The sequence below is a fragment of the Homo sapiens genome, chromosome 2, assembly GCF_000001405.40.
Source record: "Homo sapiens chromosome 2, GRCh38.p14 Primary Assembly".
Lineage (NCBI taxonomy): Eukaryota > Metazoa > Chordata > Mammalia > Primates > Hominidae > Homo > Homo sapiens.
In genome coordinates this window covers 75608464-75628893 of record NC_000002.12, presented here as the reverse complement: position 1 = coordinate 75628893, position 20430 = coordinate 75608464, and the positions used below count along the sequence as shown (strand labels likewise).

Sequence of the window (20430 nt, the reverse complement as noted above, 5' to 3'; positions counted from 1 at the left end):
TATTTCTTCTGTCCAGGTTGAAAGAGAGAAAGAGTGAGATTAAGAGAAAGAGGCAGAGAGAAAGAACGGAAGTGGGGACCAGATATGTACTCCACACACTGTTTACGGGGGGTATAAAATCTCAGTGCTGAATTGAAAGACATTTTGGTAGTAGCTTAGAACTTAAAGTATAGATACTCTTTGACCCAGCAATTCCACATCTTATTTACTATTAAGGAAAACTCATGGATGTGCAGAAAACATACAACGATGTTCATTGCAAGCACTGCTTGTTCTAGCAAAGAATTGAAAGCACTGAGAGAAAGCCAATGGTTAAATATACTATGGCACATCACTGGCTAAATAAATATACCATAATTTATTCATATCTTAAGATACTATACAGAAGATAAAAACTAATTAGATACATATGTACTGATGTGGATGTTTAGTGAGAAGACATGTTTAAAATTAAAACAGTATCATATATTGTTATATAAAAATAAGCAAAGAACTAACTGCTTTACTTGAAAAAGGAAGTTTTTGGTAAAGGGTGAGCAAGCCAAGAAAGAGATACACCTTCAATTTATCTTTTTGAGAGTTTTGTTGTCAAATGCATCCTTAGTATGGCCATAAGAAAACTGAAATAAAGAAGATACTAGATGTTACCCGTTTCCTTTATGGAAAAGTGAAAGGAACAATCCCTGAGAGTGAAGAACAAAATACAAGCAATCACATCAGAAAGGAACCCGCAGCTTGTGTTCTCTCTCTCTCTTATCCTTGTCCAAGGAGCAAAGAACGGTCATCGACAGCAAGCAGTGGCTACCACCAGGTGGCACCACCTGCCAGCTTCATGCTCAGGAGAGCTACTGCAGCTTTTCATTGAGATTTCTCCCCCTACTCTGTTCAGAAACATTTCTCTAGTAACCTACTATAGAATTGATCCCTGAAAGTATAAAGATCTGCCCTCTACCTTAGTTGGCACTAGGAATTTTATTCCTATTTTGTTGATTGAGAGATTTCTCCCACCTCCATCCCTACAACCAATATATATATTTTTAAAATGCATAATTACATATATAATAAATATATTATGTATATATAATATATAATTACATAAATTATGTAACATATTATATACATATATACATATATACATATATACACATATGTGTATGTGTATATATTATATATATTATCTATATTATATGTTATATACATATATGATTACATTCCACAAATTTAACATATATAGTATATAATATGTAATATATTTAATTATATTTTATATATGTATATATGCATGTAATTATATGTGTATATATAATTTATATTTTATATCCATGTATGTACATATATTTTATTTATTTATATATATATATATATATATATATATATATATATATATATATATATATAAAAAATTCCATTCCACAAATTTAACAAATACCTTGGGCTCTTCAGTATCATTTCTTGGCTGGGCATGGTGGCTCGCACCTGCAATCCCAGCACTTTGGGAGGCTGAGATGGGAGGATTTCTTGAGGCCAGGTGTTTGAGGCCAGTCTGGGCAACATAGCAAGAACCTGCCTCTACAAATGTTTCTTTGATTTAAAAAAATATTTTTTTAAGTTTAAGTCACAAAGTTCCCAATTAGCATAGCACCCTCCAACTGACAATCAGAAGCCATCACTATCCACCTGACAGCACTCCCTTAATGCTTTCAGGACGTTACTCTCTGCACACAGTACCTAGGTCCCCAGTTGGTGTAGGGCTCTTCTCTGTGGTGAGGAGATACTAGAAAGATGATGTTTTCTCCACAGAAACAAACCATATATGTCTTGCTCAAGTGTAGATTTGAGTTATTTCTAATTCTCCTTTGTGTCAGGAGTTCTGTGCCACTGAAAATTTTTAATGCTCAAAAGGGCAAAAATCACATCCTATCATGTTCCCTTGGATATCCAAGTGGACATGGTGAGTTGGCAGTTGATATAAGAGTCTGTTTGGGGTACAACAGAGTGATCTGGAGATATAAGTAAACACAACTATTAGAATATTTTGAGATACTAATTGATGTTTTCTTCCCTTGCATATTTCATTTAAAAAATTCTGAACTTTCCCCCTTACCACCTCCATTCAAGAAGGTAGACCTGTTTAAATCAACTGCCTTAGGGGAGGAGCACAACAGCAAAAGACAATCTGCTGACCTCTGGCTAAAGCCCACACTCAGATGCCTCTGAGGCTGAACATCATAGCAGAGGGAATGCGTTTGAGTCGAAAATCAGAGTTCTCTTCAGTGGTATGGGGCTGGGAGGAAGTCTGGTGTTGGAGTCTGAAAGGTTAGGAAGATCCCAGAAAGGAATGGCCATAGCCTCCTAGTGATTTCCAAGCCCCAGAGGCGCAAAGCAGTGGGTAGGTCCTGAGGAGACAGGCCATGCATGGTGCTACCCAGGCAGAGTTCTTGGGGGAGTGGGGAAGAGCAAAGGATGATAGGACTCCAGAGGGTCTTAGGGGGCCTGAGGCCAGTGAGCAGGCAGCAAGGGGAAATAGATGTTTTTTGTTTCTTTTTTTTTTTGAGATAGGGTCTCTTTCGGTTGCCCAGGCTGGAGTCTAGTGGCACAATCTTAGCTGGGACTACAGATGCACGCCACCACGCCTGGCTAATGTTTTAATTTTGTGTAGAGACGGGCGTCTCACCATGTTACCCAGGCTGGTCTCGAACTCCTGGGGTGAAGTGATCAGCCCACCTCCACTTCCCAAAGTGCTGAAATTGCAGGCGTGAGCCATGCCACCCAGCAAGATAAAGTTGATTCTCAAGAAAGGCACAGAGGAAGTAGAGAGCTGCTGCCTCACTTGAAAGGACTAAGGTGACCTCTGTGTGGCTGGGGTCAGGGTAAACCTGAAGATATTGGGATTCTTCCCATGGAAAAGAGGCAAGAGTGGGGCTCCACATAGAAATTAAGTTAAATCTAAATGAAGATATATTCCTTTTACATAAACCTGAGGACTGAGAGTCCTCCTTAAAACACAGACAGATCTTGTTTCCTTATCAGTGCTGCACAATAATGATAATTTATAGGGAACCTCCCAGAACATTTATGCTTTTTCCATCATGAGGTGGCCAGATGGCTCCCTGGTTTGCTGAATGAAGTCTGGAAAAAAAATTACTATGTGTAAAGAGACAAAACAGTCTAAAACTATAAGCAACAGGAGGTACTGGGCATTGGAGGTTGGCTGCAAGTAAAGAATAAACATAGAACGCTTCAATTAAATGATCATATATTCACTCATCCTTTATGCTTTGGCATCTTTTAGAAAATCTTCCAGTGCTTTCACCCAAGCCTTCTTATCTTCTCAGCAACACATTTCGCTTAGTTGGTATCCTATTCCTATCTTTGGCTTCAACTAACACCTCTTTGCTGGTGGCTTCTTGATCTACTTCTTCCCAAACACCTAAGCCAAGCTTTGGGTACAGACCTGAAACTGCCTGCTGGCCTCATTCCAGGACACATCCTGTGGGCAATACAATTTAGCATGTCCAAATCATAACTCATGTGGTTTAATTTTTCTGGCCAAATAATAAGACAAAAACCACAAGAGCATTGAAAAAAATAAAACGTTTATTAAAGTGCCTGGCAAGGAGTACACGTCAGTGAATACATCCACTGAGAACTTTGCAGAGGGGAAAAGTTAGGAGGGTTTGAGTGCTAGGAAAGGGAGAGTTCAGGCTAGGATGCTAATTAAGGGTTGAATGAGTCCATGTGTCTCTTCCATTGTTCACTGGTCAGCAAAGATCTTCCAGTAGTTCTGTTAGGTCTGTCTTCTTAGGGTCACTCAATTTCATGGTTCTTTCTCAATCAGTTGGAATGAAATATCTAATTTTATGTTGTCATCTTCTGGGGCAAGTGTAAGTGGAAAATTTCCCTTTGACAATTTTACCTCCTTTTGCCATTAAAATCATTGTTTGTTTTGCATCTAAACACTGCTTGTTTTCTATCTGTAGAATAGATCCTCAAAATGAGATTTCTAGTCCGATAGGTATGTGGATTTGTGATTTTATTAGAAATTGTCCAAGTAACGACTGGAGGCGGTGGCTCCCACCTGTAATCCCAACACTTTCGGAGGCCAAGGAGGGTGGATCACCTGAGGTCAGGAGTTTGAGATCAGCCTGGCCAACATGGTGAAACCCTGTCTCTACTAAAAATAATAATAATAAAAAATTAGCTGGGCATAGTGGCGTGCACCAGTAGTCCCAGATACTCGGGAGGCTGAGGCAGGAGAATCACTTGAACCCGGGAGGCAGAGGTTGCAGTGAGCCAAAATCACGCCACTGCACTCCAGTCTGGGCAACAGAGTGACACTCATCTCAAAATAAATAAATAAATAAATGTCCAAGTATCTTTCAAAAGTGTAGGGATTCACTCACCACCAACAATCATAGGCGTTTTTATTTCCTTCCTCTTTGTCAGTTCTGCATGTTAGCTCTTTTAAATTTTTGTTACAAATATGCAACTAGAAGAAATAAGACCTGTGTTCAATAGATCAATAGGGTGACCATATATAGTTAATATTAATCTATTGTACATTTCAAAATAGCTAAAAGAGAACAATTCAAATGTTCCTAGCATGAAAAAAAGATAAATGTTTGACGTGATAGATATCCCAGTTACACTGCTGATTGTATGAACATATCAAATTATCACAAGCACCCTGAAAACATGTACATCTATTATGTATCAATTTAAATCAGTAAAAATAGAAATCTTTTTTACTAAAATTATTTAAATATTTGCCAATCTTAGATGTGAAAACTATTTCATTTTTGTGTTAATTTACATCTCCCTACTAGTGAGATTGAGTTTCCTATTGTAGGTTTGTTAGTTATCTGCATTTCTTCATTTTATCAATGGCCTGTTCAACTCCTTTGCCCATTTTTCTTTTAGTCTGTTTTAAAATAAATTTGTAGGCATTCTTTGTATATTAGGTATACTAACCTGTGTATCACATGTATTAAAAGTATTTTGTCTGCGCTATCATTTGCATTTTCTTTCTGGTAACTTTTATCATAAACATTAAAAAATGATAGTATAATATACCAATCTAATCATTTATAACTTCTGGATTTTATGTCTTCTTAAGGAGTCCTCATTCTCAAAATTTTACACCAATTCTTCCAATATATAAATAAAGTACCCTCATCACATATGATTTTCTTTTTTTTTTTTTTTTTGTAGTGTTCTTCTTGTCTGTCTTGGTAGGGCACCCAAAGAGATGAGTTGATTCCTTCCTGCAGCCTGGTAGCCACTCAGATTCTTGGAGATGCTTCAGTTGACTGGAGCTTCCTATCTGATTACAGCAGTCCATGTGGGGATGTCAGATGCCAGTGCAGAGCCAGCCTTTGGTGAATGGAGACGTGAATGGGAAAGCAGAGAAGGGAGGCACGGATATGTGGATGTAGCTAGATACTGCATGGAACTCAACCTCCCACAGTGGAAGTGAAGTGGAATAAAGTGGGTGCTGAGGACCCACTTCGGGAAGGCCTCAGGTGCCTGCTGCATGTGGGGTCAGAGTGACTGATGCTTCGTGTCTCCGAATGATAAACCTCATGGAAGGTAGTGAAAGATCAGAGAGTTCTCCCTCCCGATCTGAGAGAATGACTCCTTTCCTTGCTAGTGCCCATAGTGTGGGTGTTTAGATTTTTTCTGCCTTACAAGTGCATGTGATAGAAGAGGCTGCATTTCCTTGTTTCTCTTCCCTCCCAGACATCAGCAACACCTGTGGCCACTCTCCAAGGTGTTGAAGTTGCACCCTGCCCTCTGGCCATGTCCACAGTGCTGAGATACTCTTTAGACACTTACTTCTAGATAAAGACCTTGATACATATTGGGCCATTAGGCAGCTTGTGGATTGCTTTTTGCTTCACCCTAGCTGGCCATATGTGAGATAGGGCACTACTGACGAGCAGCTCTCATTTGGGGGATATAAGATGAGAGGAACACACAGGCTGCTGTGGTTGGTCACCTACTCCCAGTGTTTTTCCTAGTTCTTTGCCTTTCCGACCTAGAAACTCCCACCATCACCTCAATTATCTAGATTCAAACCTTCTGCTGAGCTGTGGAGTAATATAATTCTGCCAAAGACTGTTTGGCTGTATCCTTTGTCTCATTCCTGAAATCCTACACATGAATCTAGCATAGAATGTTTTTGCAGCAGACCTCAGGAGAGCTGCCTTCATCACATAGCAGATGACTAGCCTTGCCTCCCTCACTCTGTCTCTTCTTGCTCAATTCAAGTCCCCATTTTGGAAACACTTCTCTTGCTATGCCTTGGAACCCTCTCCAGAACATGATGCTTCTCTATTTTTCCTTCGGCTCCATTTGCATGGCAAAGTTTGGGCAAGGGTTGCTCATGTAAGTACCTCCTTAGAATCAACTAACCATGCCTACTTCCTGACTAGTTCAGGGAAGGAGTCTATCACAGAGAAGGGGGAACTTTGGAAGGAGACTAAGGAAATACAGGTAGAGGCAGTGGAGAAAAACCAGGAGAGAGCAGTGGCATAGAAGCCAATGGAAAAAAGAATTCCAGGAAGGAAGAAGTTTTCTATCTTTGAAAAATGAAATCTCCCTGGCAGAGCGGATGAGAACAATGGACATTTCAAGGTGCCTGCATGTTTTGTGTTCCTAACTGGAGCAGTGCCTACCAAAGTGGAGCACAGTGGGCAAGGGTACCAGTGGGAGTGGGTCCTACTGGGCAAGGGTAACAGTGGGAGTGGTTCCAGTGGGGAGGAGTATTTTATTGCTGAGATTGTTAGAATTGCTGGCACATGGTGATAATAGAAAGCAGATGAATATTCAGTTGAGTTTATTATTGCTTTTAAATTATTTACACCCAGGCGCTCCCTTATTGCACCCAGGGCAGACCACTCCCATCCTCCATCACCCCCTTAGTACACTGCTGAAATGGAGAAACCCATTACGAACAATTTATTTTGTCCAGAATGGATGAGTTTGGTACAGGCAGAGAGGCCCAGAACTACAAGGAAGGCGAACTCTGCTATTTTCTGCTTAATAAAGCAAGCTATTGATTTTTAAGGCATACCGGAAGAGAGTGACATGCCTGACCTAGAAAACAGAGAAGCAGATAATATTTAGGACGAAAAGAACAGCTAGACTTATGGTGACATACATCTCCACTATCCCAAATTCTGGGGAAAAGCCTTGTGGATTGGCTTGGGTTGGGGTGAATGACGAATCCTGGAAATGGGGTAAAGAAAAGAGACAACCCATCACAGGAAACAAACACAAGTGATATCACGAGTTCATGAAAAGCTAGGACTCAGAGCCAAAGGGACCATGAAGAATCTTGGGAGTCTTGGAGGGGCACTGGACTTCACATGGCATCATGTAGAAGCAGAACCTTTGGAATGTGAGTGTAAAGAGGCAGAAATCCATTTGTTTCTTCCTGGCTTCTCTGTAGTAAGAGGGACAGGCGAGTGGGCCCGGGTGCATTCAGAAAAAGGAAGTGTAGAGCAGGCAGCCCTGGCCTGGCCTCTCGAGGTCTTAAGCTCACATACAGAAGATCCTTGAGGCTGATAGACCAAACAAAGAGATTCACAGTGGAAGCCTACCAGCAACACAGTGTGGGTTTGAATGCTGGGTCCCTTCTGATGAATTTCTTAAGAATCAAACATGGCAGCCAGAGCAGTAGAAACAAATTTGGGATCTTGGTTTCAAACATTAACCACAGTATACCTTCAAAAAAAGTCAGTTGCATTAATTAAAATGACCCAATAGGAGTGAAAAGTAGTGGGAAAAAATAGGATATAAGAACTCAAATTTACATATTTAGAGGTGGGTAGAGTTGGGCTCAAATAGGTCCTGGAGCAATTACTCAGTGGACACATAACAAACAATTACTGAGCAACTACTTTGTGTAAAACATTACACTAGGGACTAGAAATAAAAAATTTCTTAAGACCTTGTTCTTAACCTGTGGAGTTTCTGTTACAGAGCATGTCATTCTGACATGGGGCGAGTTGTGCCCTCCCCCAATTTTTTCTTCTCTACCAGGATTTCCTGACCATCTTTCAAGATCTTTCTTGATGAAACTACCCAACAATGCCATGAAAAAAAAATAGCTCTATCCCTCTTTGCTTCTAAAGACTTCTTTTAAACTCATATCATCTAAACTTTATTGCTGTTTCTGTACTCGTCTTCCTTGGTAGACAGTGTAGAAGAGAAACATTTTGTGTTGTTTAGATTTGAATCTGTTAGATTCATGATGTTTATTAACATGTGTGCATTGACCCATAAGTGGGGTGTGAAATTGGTAGATTTTTGACTGGTACTTTAAAAAACTGGAGTAGAAGAGAACGGAAACTGTCAAAGTGATTCACACATTAAGAATGAGTAATGCTTCATGAAATTTGTTTCTATTATTTATGTGAGTGTCTTGAGTCACAATGTAAAATATTTTTACTAAGGATCATTTAAAAAATCAATAAAACACTGGAGGCTCAGTAATTTGGGATAGACTATAGGAAGAAACCTAGACCTAGAGATTCTGAAGTTTTCAGATTATAAACAGATCTATACTATACATAGAAAGCAATGGGTTACACAAGTTTATAGCTTAAGTAAACCAATAAAATAGCAAACATGTCTATACATTAAGGCAGGAGTCAGCAAACTATTTCTGTAAAGATAGTAAATATTTTAGGTTTTATAGACTATAAGTTTCCTGTCACGACTCTGCAACTCTACCATCATAGCACAAACGCAGCCACAGATGATGTGTAATGGAATGACAATGGCTGGGTTCCAATAAAATTTGAATTTTACATAATTTTCATGTGTCAGGAAACAGTCTTTTGATTTGTTTCAAGCATGTATGAATGTAAAAGCCATTCTTAGCTCATGATGTTTTAAAAGATAGTGTATTAATAGAAAATTTGAGCTCCAGGAAGGCCAACAGATTGAGAGATGATTGCCTTCAAAAACAGTTTGTCGACCAGGCGCAGTGGCTCATCCCAGTAATCCCAGCCCTTTGGGAGGCCAAGGTGGGTGGATCATTTGGGGTCAGGAGTTTCAGAGCAGCCTGGCCAACATGGTGAAACCCTGTTTCTACTAAAAATACAAAAGTAGCTGGGTGTGGTGGTGCACACCTGTAGTCCCAGTTACTCAGGAGGCTGAACTAAGAGAATCACTTGAACCTGGGAGATGGAGGTTGCAGTGAGCCAAGATCGCACCACTGCACTCTGGCCTGGGCAACAGAGTGAGACTCTGTCTCAAAACAAACAAACAAAAAAGAAGAAAGAAAACATAGTTTGTGACTTGTTACTCGCAGCTCCCAAGAGAAGGAGGCATGTCACACCTTGGGGGCCCACACAGGGCCTGTGTGTTGGAAGCATTGGGGCTGGTCAGGAGGCAAAGGGGGAGGGAAAGATTGCTAGAGCCTTTATTGTGATTTTTGTGGAAAGGAATGGAGTAAGCTAGATATGCAGGTTTAAGCTTGGCTGGTTTGAATAATTACAGTGGGCTCTGGGGATAAAAACTATGCCTGGTTGTCTGATACCTGGTCCTGGGGTAATTAGGGCAGGTGGATAAATGCCTGGAGTGTGAAAGCTCAATAAAGGAGATGATTGGGGTTGTGGGCTCTGGATTTGGTTGGTTTGTATTTGAAAATCACACTCATGGGTGAGTTCATCTTTAGGAGTTAGCTAATCCTAGGAGAGGCAATCTCCAGTGTTACCAAGGCTCCAGATGTCAAAGCCTCAGAATATAGAAAAGATGAGGTTAATACACATGGGCTGTGTACAAATAGGTGATGGGCTGGGTTTGGCTCATGGGCTATAGATTGCCAACCAATGGGCTAAGAGAAGAAAGATAATGTCAAATACCAAACATGCAGTTGTAAAAAATAAATTAAGAGTAAATTAGGAATATCTCATGAAGCTTCCTATCTTTGCTAGTAAACACTGAAGAAATTGTTATTTATCATAAACACTGAGCATCTCTAATCTGAAAATCCAAAAGCCTAAATTCTTTGAGCACTGACACGACACCACAAGTGGAAAATTTCACAGCTCATCTCATGTGGTGGGTCCCAGTCAAAACACAGTCAACACTTTGTTTCATGCACAAAATTACCTAAAATATTGTATCAAATTAACTTCAGCCTAGGTGTACAAGATGTGTATGAAACATAAGTGAATTTTGCGTTTAGACTTGGGTCTTATCCCCCAAGATATCTCATTCTGTAAATATAAATACTTCAAAATCTGAAAAACCTCAAATCTGAAACATTTCTGTCCCAGAAATTTCAGATAAAAAATACTCAACCTATAATAAGAAACAGCCTGTATCCACTTAAACTTAAGGAAGACTTTTCCCTGATTTGGCCAATTATTCTGTTCATTCTGCTCCTGTAGCCCCCAAAACATAAATATTTCCTAACCTGCTCTTTTCTTATCTTCACTGAGAAGGGAAATAGCCAGAACAGACACAGAATTCTCCGAGTGTTTAGCGTCACCCTGAATATATCTTCCCAAGCCCTGTTTTAAAATAGTAGTATGATCTCTTTTTTGTGTTCTCATAATTTTACCCAAGGCTAAATTAACATTTTTGGAGCTTCTAATCTAATTATACCATTGTGAATTCCTTGAGGGCAAGGATGATTTTTTTTTCTTATTACTTCCTTCTCAAATTCTCTCACTGTCTTCTCATTGCAGTTGGGGGGCAATCCCATGTCTGTTCATGGCCCTACACCCTCCCCAATCTAGTGCCTTTCCCTCCCTGTTGTTTCAGATGCATCTCTTGACAAGTTCTCCCATTTTCAGTAGCCATGTTGTTGGTCTTCTGATGGAGAAATGTGTTGGGCCTTTTTATTGGCTGTTCTTTCCATCTGCAATAACTTCCACCCTGTCCCCATCTCATTCCTAATTCTTGAGGTCTTATCCTTCTCATCAGATTGTTTCCCTGCAAGTCTTTCCCTCAGCTGCCTGTGATCTTCCTTCATAGAACATTTTACAGTTTGTATCTGTACAATTATAAATGTCATCACATTCTGATGCTGGTCTCTTCCATCAGGCCTCAGGTCCTTGAGGGCTGAGGGCCTGGTACATAGTAGCGACTCAATAAACATTCATGGAATGAATGAATGAGCAAAAGCAAATGCAGGGCCCCTTGAGGAACAGTGAGGAGTCTGGAGCGCAGGGTGAAGAGTGATCACTGTGCTGTGTATATTGGTTCTCAGATATTTCTATTAGTTTTGCAATCCTCATTCATATTTGACAGCATTTTGAAGCAATAGCAGCCTAGCAGAAAATGCTTCATGCAAACTCGGTGAAAGAATTCTCAGCCTGTATAGGAAGATAAGGAATCGGACAGAACTTTAGGGCATTTTAATGATGATCATAGGTGTGCATGTGGGGGTAGGGCAAGACCCCTCAGTGATGATCTCGCCACTCAGAGAGCAGGAGAAGGTGAGGCTCATAATCCTTATTTAGTGTAGTTTGGCAAAACTCTTCATAAACACTGTTATGGTTTGAATGTGTTCCTCAAATTTTATGTGTTGGAAACTCAACCCCCAAATTTATGTCTTAATGGCATTTGCAGGTGAGGCCTCTGAGAAGTAGTTAGGATTAGATAAGGTCATCAGGGTGGGGCCCCCATCATGGGACTGGTGGCTTTATAGGAAGGGGAAGAGAGCCCTGAGCGGATACGCTCTTGCTCTTTCACTATACAATGCCCTTCACCATGTTTTGATGTAGTGAAATGGCCATTGCCAGATGCCAGTGCCATGCTCTTGGACTTCCCAGCCTCCAGAACTGTAAGAAATAAATTTCTCTTCTTTATAAATTACCCAGTCTGTGTTATTCTGTTATAACAACAAAAAATGGACTCAAACAGACGCTTTAGACATTTTCCCCAATAGTATTCTTGCCATATTTACTTCAACATCATCAAGACATCAACTGATGGCTTTACTGATCAGCATAATTGCTCCAATTTTATCTTACTGGATGTTGTGAGTAAATGAGAACTTTTACACTGGTTGGTGGACCCAGGGTTCTCCCTGTTTTTCATTATGTTCATATATACATATACATATATACATATGTATATATATACACATACATATATACGTATGTGTATATATACGCATATATACATATGTATATATACATATATACATATATACACATATATATACATATATATACATACACACACACACATATATATATATATGCTCATTACAAAATGGAAACTTCATTTCTAAGAAATGAATGCACTACCCACACCCAGATCTTCACTCCGTCATGTACTTTTCTTTGCATAATGCTGATCGGACAGCTGAAGTGTAGTGTGAGCATGTAGGCTCCAGAGCTATGGTGCTAGGGTTTATATGTTGTGATTTGTGGCCTTGAGCACCTCATTTAACTTCTCTGGACCTGTGTCCTCATTGGGAAAACAGGAGTAACAATAGCACCTATTTTCTATAAATGTTATGAAGACTTAATAAGCCAATGTAATAGAATATTCAGAATGGTGTCTGAAACATACCAAGGCCAAAGTAAATATTAGCTAACATTACGATTTGTATATGAAGTTAATACCTAAAAAGATAAAACATAGTGAGCCTAACTTGACACACAATGGTTAGAAAACTCATTTACAATGTTGTGTAAATTTACACAGTTTAGAAAGCTTTCCATTCAAAATAATTAAAACAGTTTTATTGCTCAAAACAGCACCCTGAAGTATTTGGGAAAACCCAGTTCTCCAAACCATGTGGGGGCTCAGAAAGACCAAGGTTTGACCCTTCAGGCTGCCTCCAGTGGGGATCTCTCAGGAGAGCTGGTGGCTTAAGGATAACTAATTTTTTTTTTAGACAGGGTCTCCCTCTGTCAGCTAGGCTGGATAGCTCACTACAGCCTCAAGCTCCCTGGCTCAAGTGATCCTCCCACCTCAGCATCCTGAGTAGCTGGGACTACCAGCATGTGCCACCACAGTGGACAGTTTATTTTTAGTTTTCATGGAGACAAGTTCTCACAATGTTGCCCAGGTTGGTCTTTAAATCCTGGGCTCAAGCCTCCCAAAGTGCTGGGATTGCAGACATGAGCCACTGCGCCCAGCTCATAATCTTATTTAACACAAGATAAAAACACATACACACAAGTCCTCTTTACTGCTTGTACAAAGTCATTTTAAAAGTGAACTTTCTGTCTTATTAGCAAATAGCCCAGAGCAGGGGCAGGAAGAAGAAACCTGTGGTGTGGACTCCAGGCTTGATGTTCACATCTGCCCTTCCTGTGAGGACCACTATGTCTCTACACTGTTCTTTGCTGCACAAAACATTTGTTTAATCCTTACAGCTACTCCTGGAATGGGCGCATTTATGCCCTTTTTAATGATGAGGCCAGTGAGATTTATAGAGGGGTGAGGATGTGTCCAATGCCACACATCAAAGTGTTGGGTCATTCATTTATTCAATGTGTCAAGTAGACCTGGGGACAAGGAGCTGAATAACTCCCTCAAAAGGGCTCATACTCTGCTACGAGGAAACCATCACAATACCCTATAGTGGTTGCTGGAGTGTAGGGGTTGTCAGTGGGCTGGGGGAATGCTCGCAAATAACATTTTAGTTGGGCAAGAAAGGTCCCCAGAAATGGAGCAATTGTGCTAAGTCTTGAAATAGAAGAGGCACTTTGAAAGGTGATAAAAGTGAGGAATTTAGGCCTCCAGACTCAAATTGTAATATATGTAAAGGTGACCCATGACTCACTAACTAAAATATATATATTTAATCTTAAATTACTACTTTTTCACATATAATTTGCTTATTATTAAAAATTTTGAAGAGTACAGAATAAAGAAAAACAAACATTTTGGTGTGCGTATTTCAGCCCTTTTTTTCTGTACAGAAAGTCATGTGTGGCCGCGTACGGTGGTTCATACGTGTAATCCCAGCACCTTAGGAGGCTGAGGCAAGAGGATCTCTGGAGCTCAGGAGTTTGAGACCAGCCTGGGCAACATGGTGAAACCCTGTCTCTACAAAAAAAAAAAAAAATTACCCAGGTGTGATGACATGCACACCTGTCCCAGCTACTCAAGAGGCTGAGGTGGGAGGATCGCTTAAGTCCAGGAAGTTGAGGCTGCAGTGAGCCATCATGGTACCACTGAACTCCATTCTGAGTAACAGAGGGAGATCTTGTCTCAAATAAATAAAAAGTCATGTGTATGTAACTTAAGAGGCTATCATGAACATTCTCCTATGTCAGTAACCATGCACCTTCGACACCATTGTTAATATTTGCCCAGTGTTAAATCATGTGGTTGCACCACACTTCATTTGGCTGAGGCCCTATTGCTGGACATTTAGGCCAGAGAATGAACAACTCTGAAGCTATGCCAAGCTGCACTGGAGAATGTGGCGAGTAGAGGCAGCTGGGGACAAATCAGGTATAATTATTTGTGACCCACTTCTGCCTTTCTTATAAGCCATTTGCTTTAGATTTAGCTGCAATTTTGAAAGCTAATCTGGGTGTTTTGCAAGAAAAAAAGATAAGCAGAAGTACCTTCTGGAGCCTGGCAAGGTAGGGATTGGTTGTGTGCAGTGAAATCTCAGAGCTTGCTGAAGTGGCCTCTAGGAGCAGGCGGAGATAGGAAAATGCCAGGGAAACATCATCTCCCTGAGGGCGAGTTCGTCATGCTATGTGGGTAGATTGTGAAATGCAATATAACCTTGAAGGAAACCATAGAATATTTACATCGAAGATGAAATTTATATTCACAAAAGTGTGGTGTGTTTACATCTTAATACAACTTCGAAAAGTTCTCTGTGTTCCAACATAAACATGAATATTTTCAAAAGTTGCAGTGGTATGACCTTGAAATCAACATACCTTGGCTGCTTCTTGCCTGTCTTCCTCCTTTCTCCACCCTCTTCCAATTTTCTGAGTGCCACTTTGTGCCATGTGCTTTGCAGGCATGAAGGATACATAGGGTAAACATGAAGGCATTCCCTCAAGGACCTTATTTATAGGTCCTTGGAAGCAGTCGGCTGTAGAAACAAATCCATAAATACATGTGTAAGTGCAATGTACAAAGGTCTTAGAGGATCATAACTTCACTTAGGGACATCAGAAAAGTTCACAGAGTAGTTGACATTTGAGCTGAGCTTTACCAGGGAACAAGTGAGAAATGCTTGTGCAAAGGCACCGACAAGAAATAGTGAGCACTATGTCCACAGACAGAAGTATAGGGCGCCTAGAGTCTCAGGGGTAGACTGGAGGTGGAGCTGAGGCTGGAGACAGCAGGGCCTTCTACTACCTGGAGAGGGTCTTAGATTTTCTCCTATACACAATGAGGAGCCACCAAAGGATTCCTTGTGGAGAAGTCGTGATCTTTCTCTGTCCCTTGTCTTCAAGCATCCTCTACCCTAAAATGGCCTTCCCAAACCCACTCTCATTTTCATCTGGTTAACTGATTCATCCTTTGCATTTCAGCTCAGATGTCACCCCCTCCGAGAATCTTTATTTATCTGCCCCCCCCCCCCCCCCCCCCGCAGGCCCTTCCCAGCACCACATAGATCCCTAATCCCTTACCACACTGCACTGGAACTATTGGTATAGCTTATGGGTGTCTTTGGGCTGTGATTGTCCAGTTTGATTTTTTCCGCCCCAGTTCCCAGCACAGAGCATGTCCTGGAAAGACCATGTTTGCTTTCAGATCCCCGCAGCTTCTCTGCTCTGCGTCACAGAGGCTCACCCTTGCAAGCTACATTTCCCAGGATCACTTGCAGGTTGGCTTCCTGCTGGGTTTGGCCAATGGGAGGTGCTGGTGGGAGGAAGGGAAAGGTCAGAGTATTTCTCTCCCCTTTGCTCTGCTTCGAGAGGCACCACTGACAATGACGGCATCTCCTCTAAGGCTCCAGCTCCTACTGGACAACCCCTGTCTCCAAGGCTCAAGCTCCTGCCAAGTGGCCACTGCTTCCAGCTCTGACAACACCATCTTCCTCCTTTTGTCCCTTTAGCATTGGGGATGTTAATGGGCTTCTGCTGTTGCCAATTCTGGCCTCATTGTCTCCTGCTTGGCTTTTCAGCTCTCCCTACACCATTGTAACTAGTTCTTTGTATTCAGTTTCCTCTGTTGAACTCCCTGGCATGGCCCCTGCATCTCGACTAGACATTGATACACGTAGTGCCCAACAGATAGGATTGCTCAGTCAATGCATATTGAGTGAATGCTTAGGAAGGACACTCCTTGGAATGGGGAGCCAGATGGGTGAGGGGAGCAGATTTGATATAGGGAGAACATTTGGGAGCTACTGTATTTGTTAAAGTGGTGAGGTCTGAGCTGAGGCAGAAGCAGCAGAAACTAAGAGGAAGGGAGGGAATCCAAGGATGCTGATGATGTGAGGGGTAAGAGACAGAGGCAGCAGCTATGACAGCTCTCAGGGTTCTGGCTTGGGCCCTTGGGTGTAAGAGTGTGACCATTCACTAGGACATGGAACACAGGAGCAGAAGAGCCTTTGTAGGTCTGGAGGAGCTTCAGAAAGGCACTTCATTCTCTCCCCTTCTCCGCGGCCTCATCTCTAAACTGCAAGTCATGCCTCAGCTGTGCAGGGTAGGACCCCGTCCCACTGTGCTGAGTTAGAAATGCGAGGGCTACGGTTGATAACTGAAGAAATGTGAACAGTTGAGAAGTAGAACAATTGATAGAGAAGATTTAATAATGGAATGTGTTCTGTTAAGTGAATATACCCCAAGCCAGAGACACCCTTTGTAGTTCTGACACCACTAATCGGCATTCATAAGTCATTGCCCACCCTGGGTAGAAGATCCGGTCTCCCTCACCTGTAACATGAAGATAATGGCAGGGTCCCAACTCTGTGCAGGGACAGGATGAGAGGTGGGAGGGAAGACGGACTTCAGATGATGGTGATTACTGATTGATCTGTCCCAGCAGCAGTAGGGAGGATGAAGGAGCTAAGTCAGAGAGGAATGGATGCTAGAGAGGCTACAGAGGCAGGGCAGGCTGTGAGCAGAGGGGAGACATGAGGCACTGGAGAGGGGCTGGTACCACGAAGATGGTTGGAGGATGGTGGTGGGAGATGGTTGGAGGATGGTGGTGGGAGATGGTTGGAGGATGGTGATGGGAGATGGTTGGAGGGTGATGGTGGGACATGATGGAGGATGGTGGTTGGAGATTATTGGAGGGTGGTAGTGGGAGATGGTTGGAGGATGGTGGTGGGAGATGGTTGAAGGATGGTGGTGGGAGATGGTTGGAGGGTGATGGTGGGAGATGGTTGGAGGGTGATGGTGGGAGATGATGGAGGATGGTGGTGGGAAATGGTTGGAGGATGGTGGTGGGAGATGGTTGGAGGGTGATGGTGGGAGATGGTTGGAGGGTGATGGTGGGAGATGATGGAGGATGGTGGTGGGAGATGGTTGGAGGATGGTGGTGGGAGATGGTGGGAGATGGTTGGAGGGTGATGGTGGGAGATGATGGAGGATGGTGGTGGGAGATGGTTGGAGGATGGTGGTAGGAGATGGTTGGAGGATGGTGGTGGGGGATGGTTGGAGGGTGATGGTGGGAGATGATGGAGGATGGTGGTGGGAGATGGTTGGAGGATGGTGGTGGGAGATGACTGGAGGATGGTGGTGGGAGATGGTTGGAGGATGGTGGTGGGAGATGGTTGGAGGACGGTGGTGGTAAAGTAGGGGATCTATCTTCTCCTTCTCCTCTTCTGTCCTTCAAAGCCTCAGCACAGACAAAATTCCAGATAAAGATTTGTTGTACATACCACAACCTGAATGTTGAACAAACGCAAGTGTGTCCTAATCAAAACCCATCTTTAGTTTTGGCCTCCTACTGTCCTTTCAAAATGTATTTGCCCTGGACTCTTGGCTTTTCTGCTCACAATCAGGTTGTAACAATATTGCAGTTACTTAGTTGCAAATAGTCTATAAAAGACTAGTTTGTGTAATAGTAAGAACTCAGAACCTGGCTGAACCTGTAATTCCAGCACTCTGGGAGGTCAACGTGGGAGGATTGCTTGAGTCCAGGAGTTTGAGACCAGCCTGGGCAAGATGATGAAACCCCTTTCTGCAAAGTAATAATAATTTAGTCAGGCGCAGTGGCATGCACTTGTAGTGCTAGCTACTGGAGAGGCTGACGTGGAAGAATCCTTTGAGCCCAAGAGTTCAAGGCTTTAGTGAGCTATGATTACACCACTCGGTGACAGAACAGGACCCTGTCTCTTAATTGGGAACCTAAATTACCATTCAGTCTCGTCCCCTCCTTCCAGCTGGAGAGAAGGCATGGAAAACCCTGCTTTCTGAGAAGACACAATGGTCAGCTTATCTCGTTCTCAGCTCATGTTCCCCAAACTTGCTAAAGAAGGTTGGCAATGAGGCTGGAGGCAAGGTCATTAGGGAACAAGGGCAGGGTCTCTTGCAGTGGGGACCTGTGTCTGATGGAGCCTGCTTGCAAGGCCGATATCTGAAGCTGGCTTCTTCTCCAGTGGTGCATTCCTGGGCTCTTTAGAGGCTCCCTGCCGGTGCCTCTGACCACAGCTCTGTGATGTGGGCAGTGCGTTCAGCCTTCTGGATGTCTTCTTCCTCTACTCCTAAACCCCTGATTCAATGATGGCCCATTCAGCACTGAATCTCACTGTTGGGGGCCCCTCAACTCCCCAGGCTGTGCTCTTAGGCAGGTCTTGCAACTGCACCATCTGGCTTTCCCACCTCTTCGTGGTCTGGGAAACACACACCCCTGTTCTGAAGAATTCTGGGAGTGCAGCCCAGTTCCAGAGAAGTATTGTCTATCCCGTTGCACAGACTCTCTCAGTCATCTCAATGTGAGTCAGACACGCATTTTCTGTGTCCCCAGCCTGTGGGAACACAGTGCAAGGCCGCTTACTGCTCCCAAGGAAGCCCCCTCACTAGGCTTGAGTGAAGGAGGCATTCCCTCCACACTCCTCCAAAGGGAAGTGGGGACTTGGCAACAGTGCACTCCAAAGAACCTCTCACAGCTCCCCTCCCTTCCCTCCTCTATGGATGCTTATACAGATCCTTCTATGTTCTCAAGTAGGGGACAGTGTTCAAGTATTGTTTAAGCTGTTCCTGGAAATTTTTTTGTGAATTGTACATATTTTGAGCCGTCTCACACTCGAACATACCTGTGCCTTGGTGGAGGCAGGGAAAGTCCTGTCTAACAGATCTGCAGTGGGAATGAAAACCCTAACAGGGTTCCCGATGGCAATTCAGAAAGTCTCAATTCACTCACTCCTTTCCTCGTTCACTCATTTGCTCACACGACACTTGTTCTTTGAATCAGGAGCCTGGAAACATCCCAGGGCCTGGACATCCCTAATGTTCAAGCAGTCTTTATTTCATTCTATTTGAATTGTCTTTAAGTCATCAATTTTTAGCGTGGGGCTACTACTGCCTGGGACTAAATTCAGCTGCTCCACACACTTGGAGTGAAAATGTGAGCAAATCTCTCTCATTTTTCCAAATTGCATAGCAAGTAGTGATCAGAAAACCAGCATCTCCTCGAGACTCACCTGTCTTAGAAGGTCCAGGTGTGTGTGAGAACCGGGATGCGCTGTCTGCCGCTGCCCGGCGCCGCCACACGGTGGCGCCGTTGGACGGTCCCACAGTCTTCCACAAAGCGGCTTTTGTCCGTATCCCCGCACAGCCGCCGAGGTTCTCTAGGGAGGATGACCCCATTCCCTCAGTGGTAACCTCAGCCAGGGGTGACCCCCCACTTGAGCTCACGAGGTTGCAGCTCAGCTGAGTTCTGCCGCCAGTTTTCTTTCACAGCCGCCTTCCAGGTGCCAGCTCGTCCCAGGAGCCCCAGGGCAGCGCAGGCTCCCATGAATCCCAGGGATCCTTTGTTTTCAACTCAAAACACAAAGGGTCCTGTTACCCCCTCCCCTTCCTGGACAACAGAGCTACTTGCTATCCATCTAGACGTCTGAGAAAAATACCGTCAGTGACCTCTTAGGGGATCCCAGGGTGCTCGACCTCCTCCCCGCCCCTTCTCCTCTCCCCCAGGTTAGCACCCCTCATGGAAGCCAGGCTGGTTTTCCCTCTGGTCTACAAGCCAAAGAAGCTGGCGCTATTCTTACCAGGAAAGGGGACTACAGATTTAATTTTTAAATCTTTTGCAAGCACCCCTCTTGTAAGTCACTTGCCTTAGAGAGAGTAACAATGTGTCTAACATGCTTTGAAATCTAGAACAGTCGGTAGCCCTGACCTTCAGAGTAGACCTCTGGGAGCACATTTGAAAGCCGTGTAGGAGGCTGACCTTTCTGACTGTTAAGGAAGTGACTTTGGATTCCAAGAGCTTGTTCATGCATGACAATTAGTTTTTAAAGCTTCTAAGAGCAAAGGGTAAACTCCATGGAGATGCAGAGTGGAGAACCCAGTGTTTTTGCAT

General features: G+C 43.0%; 1 long non-coding RNA gene and 1 other non-coding gene across 3 annotated transcripts; both read right to left on the bottom strand.

The window, feature by feature from the left end:
* Positions 1–725: 725 nt before the first annotated feature.
* Positions 726–941, bottom strand: LOC124906195 (small nucleolar RNA U3). The gene has a single exon (XR_007088773.1). It is a non-coding gene; the product is annotated as a small nucleolar RNA U3 (small nucleolar RNA).
* A 3946-nt stretch (positions 942–4887) lies between these two features.
* On the bottom strand, positions 4888–20230 carry LOC124906026 (uncharacterized). Of its 2 annotated transcripts, none has more exons than XR_007087115.1 (3): positions 19553–20230; positions 14886–15043; positions 4888–11336 (listed from the first exon to the last, which is right to left on the bottom strand). It is a non-coding gene; the product is annotated as an uncharacterized LOC124906026 (long non-coding RNA). The 2 variants fall into 2 exon arrangements; XR_007087114.1 differs by lacking the exon at positions 19553–20230 and adding an exon at positions 15588–15746.
* Positions 20231–20430: the final 200 nt, after the last annotated feature.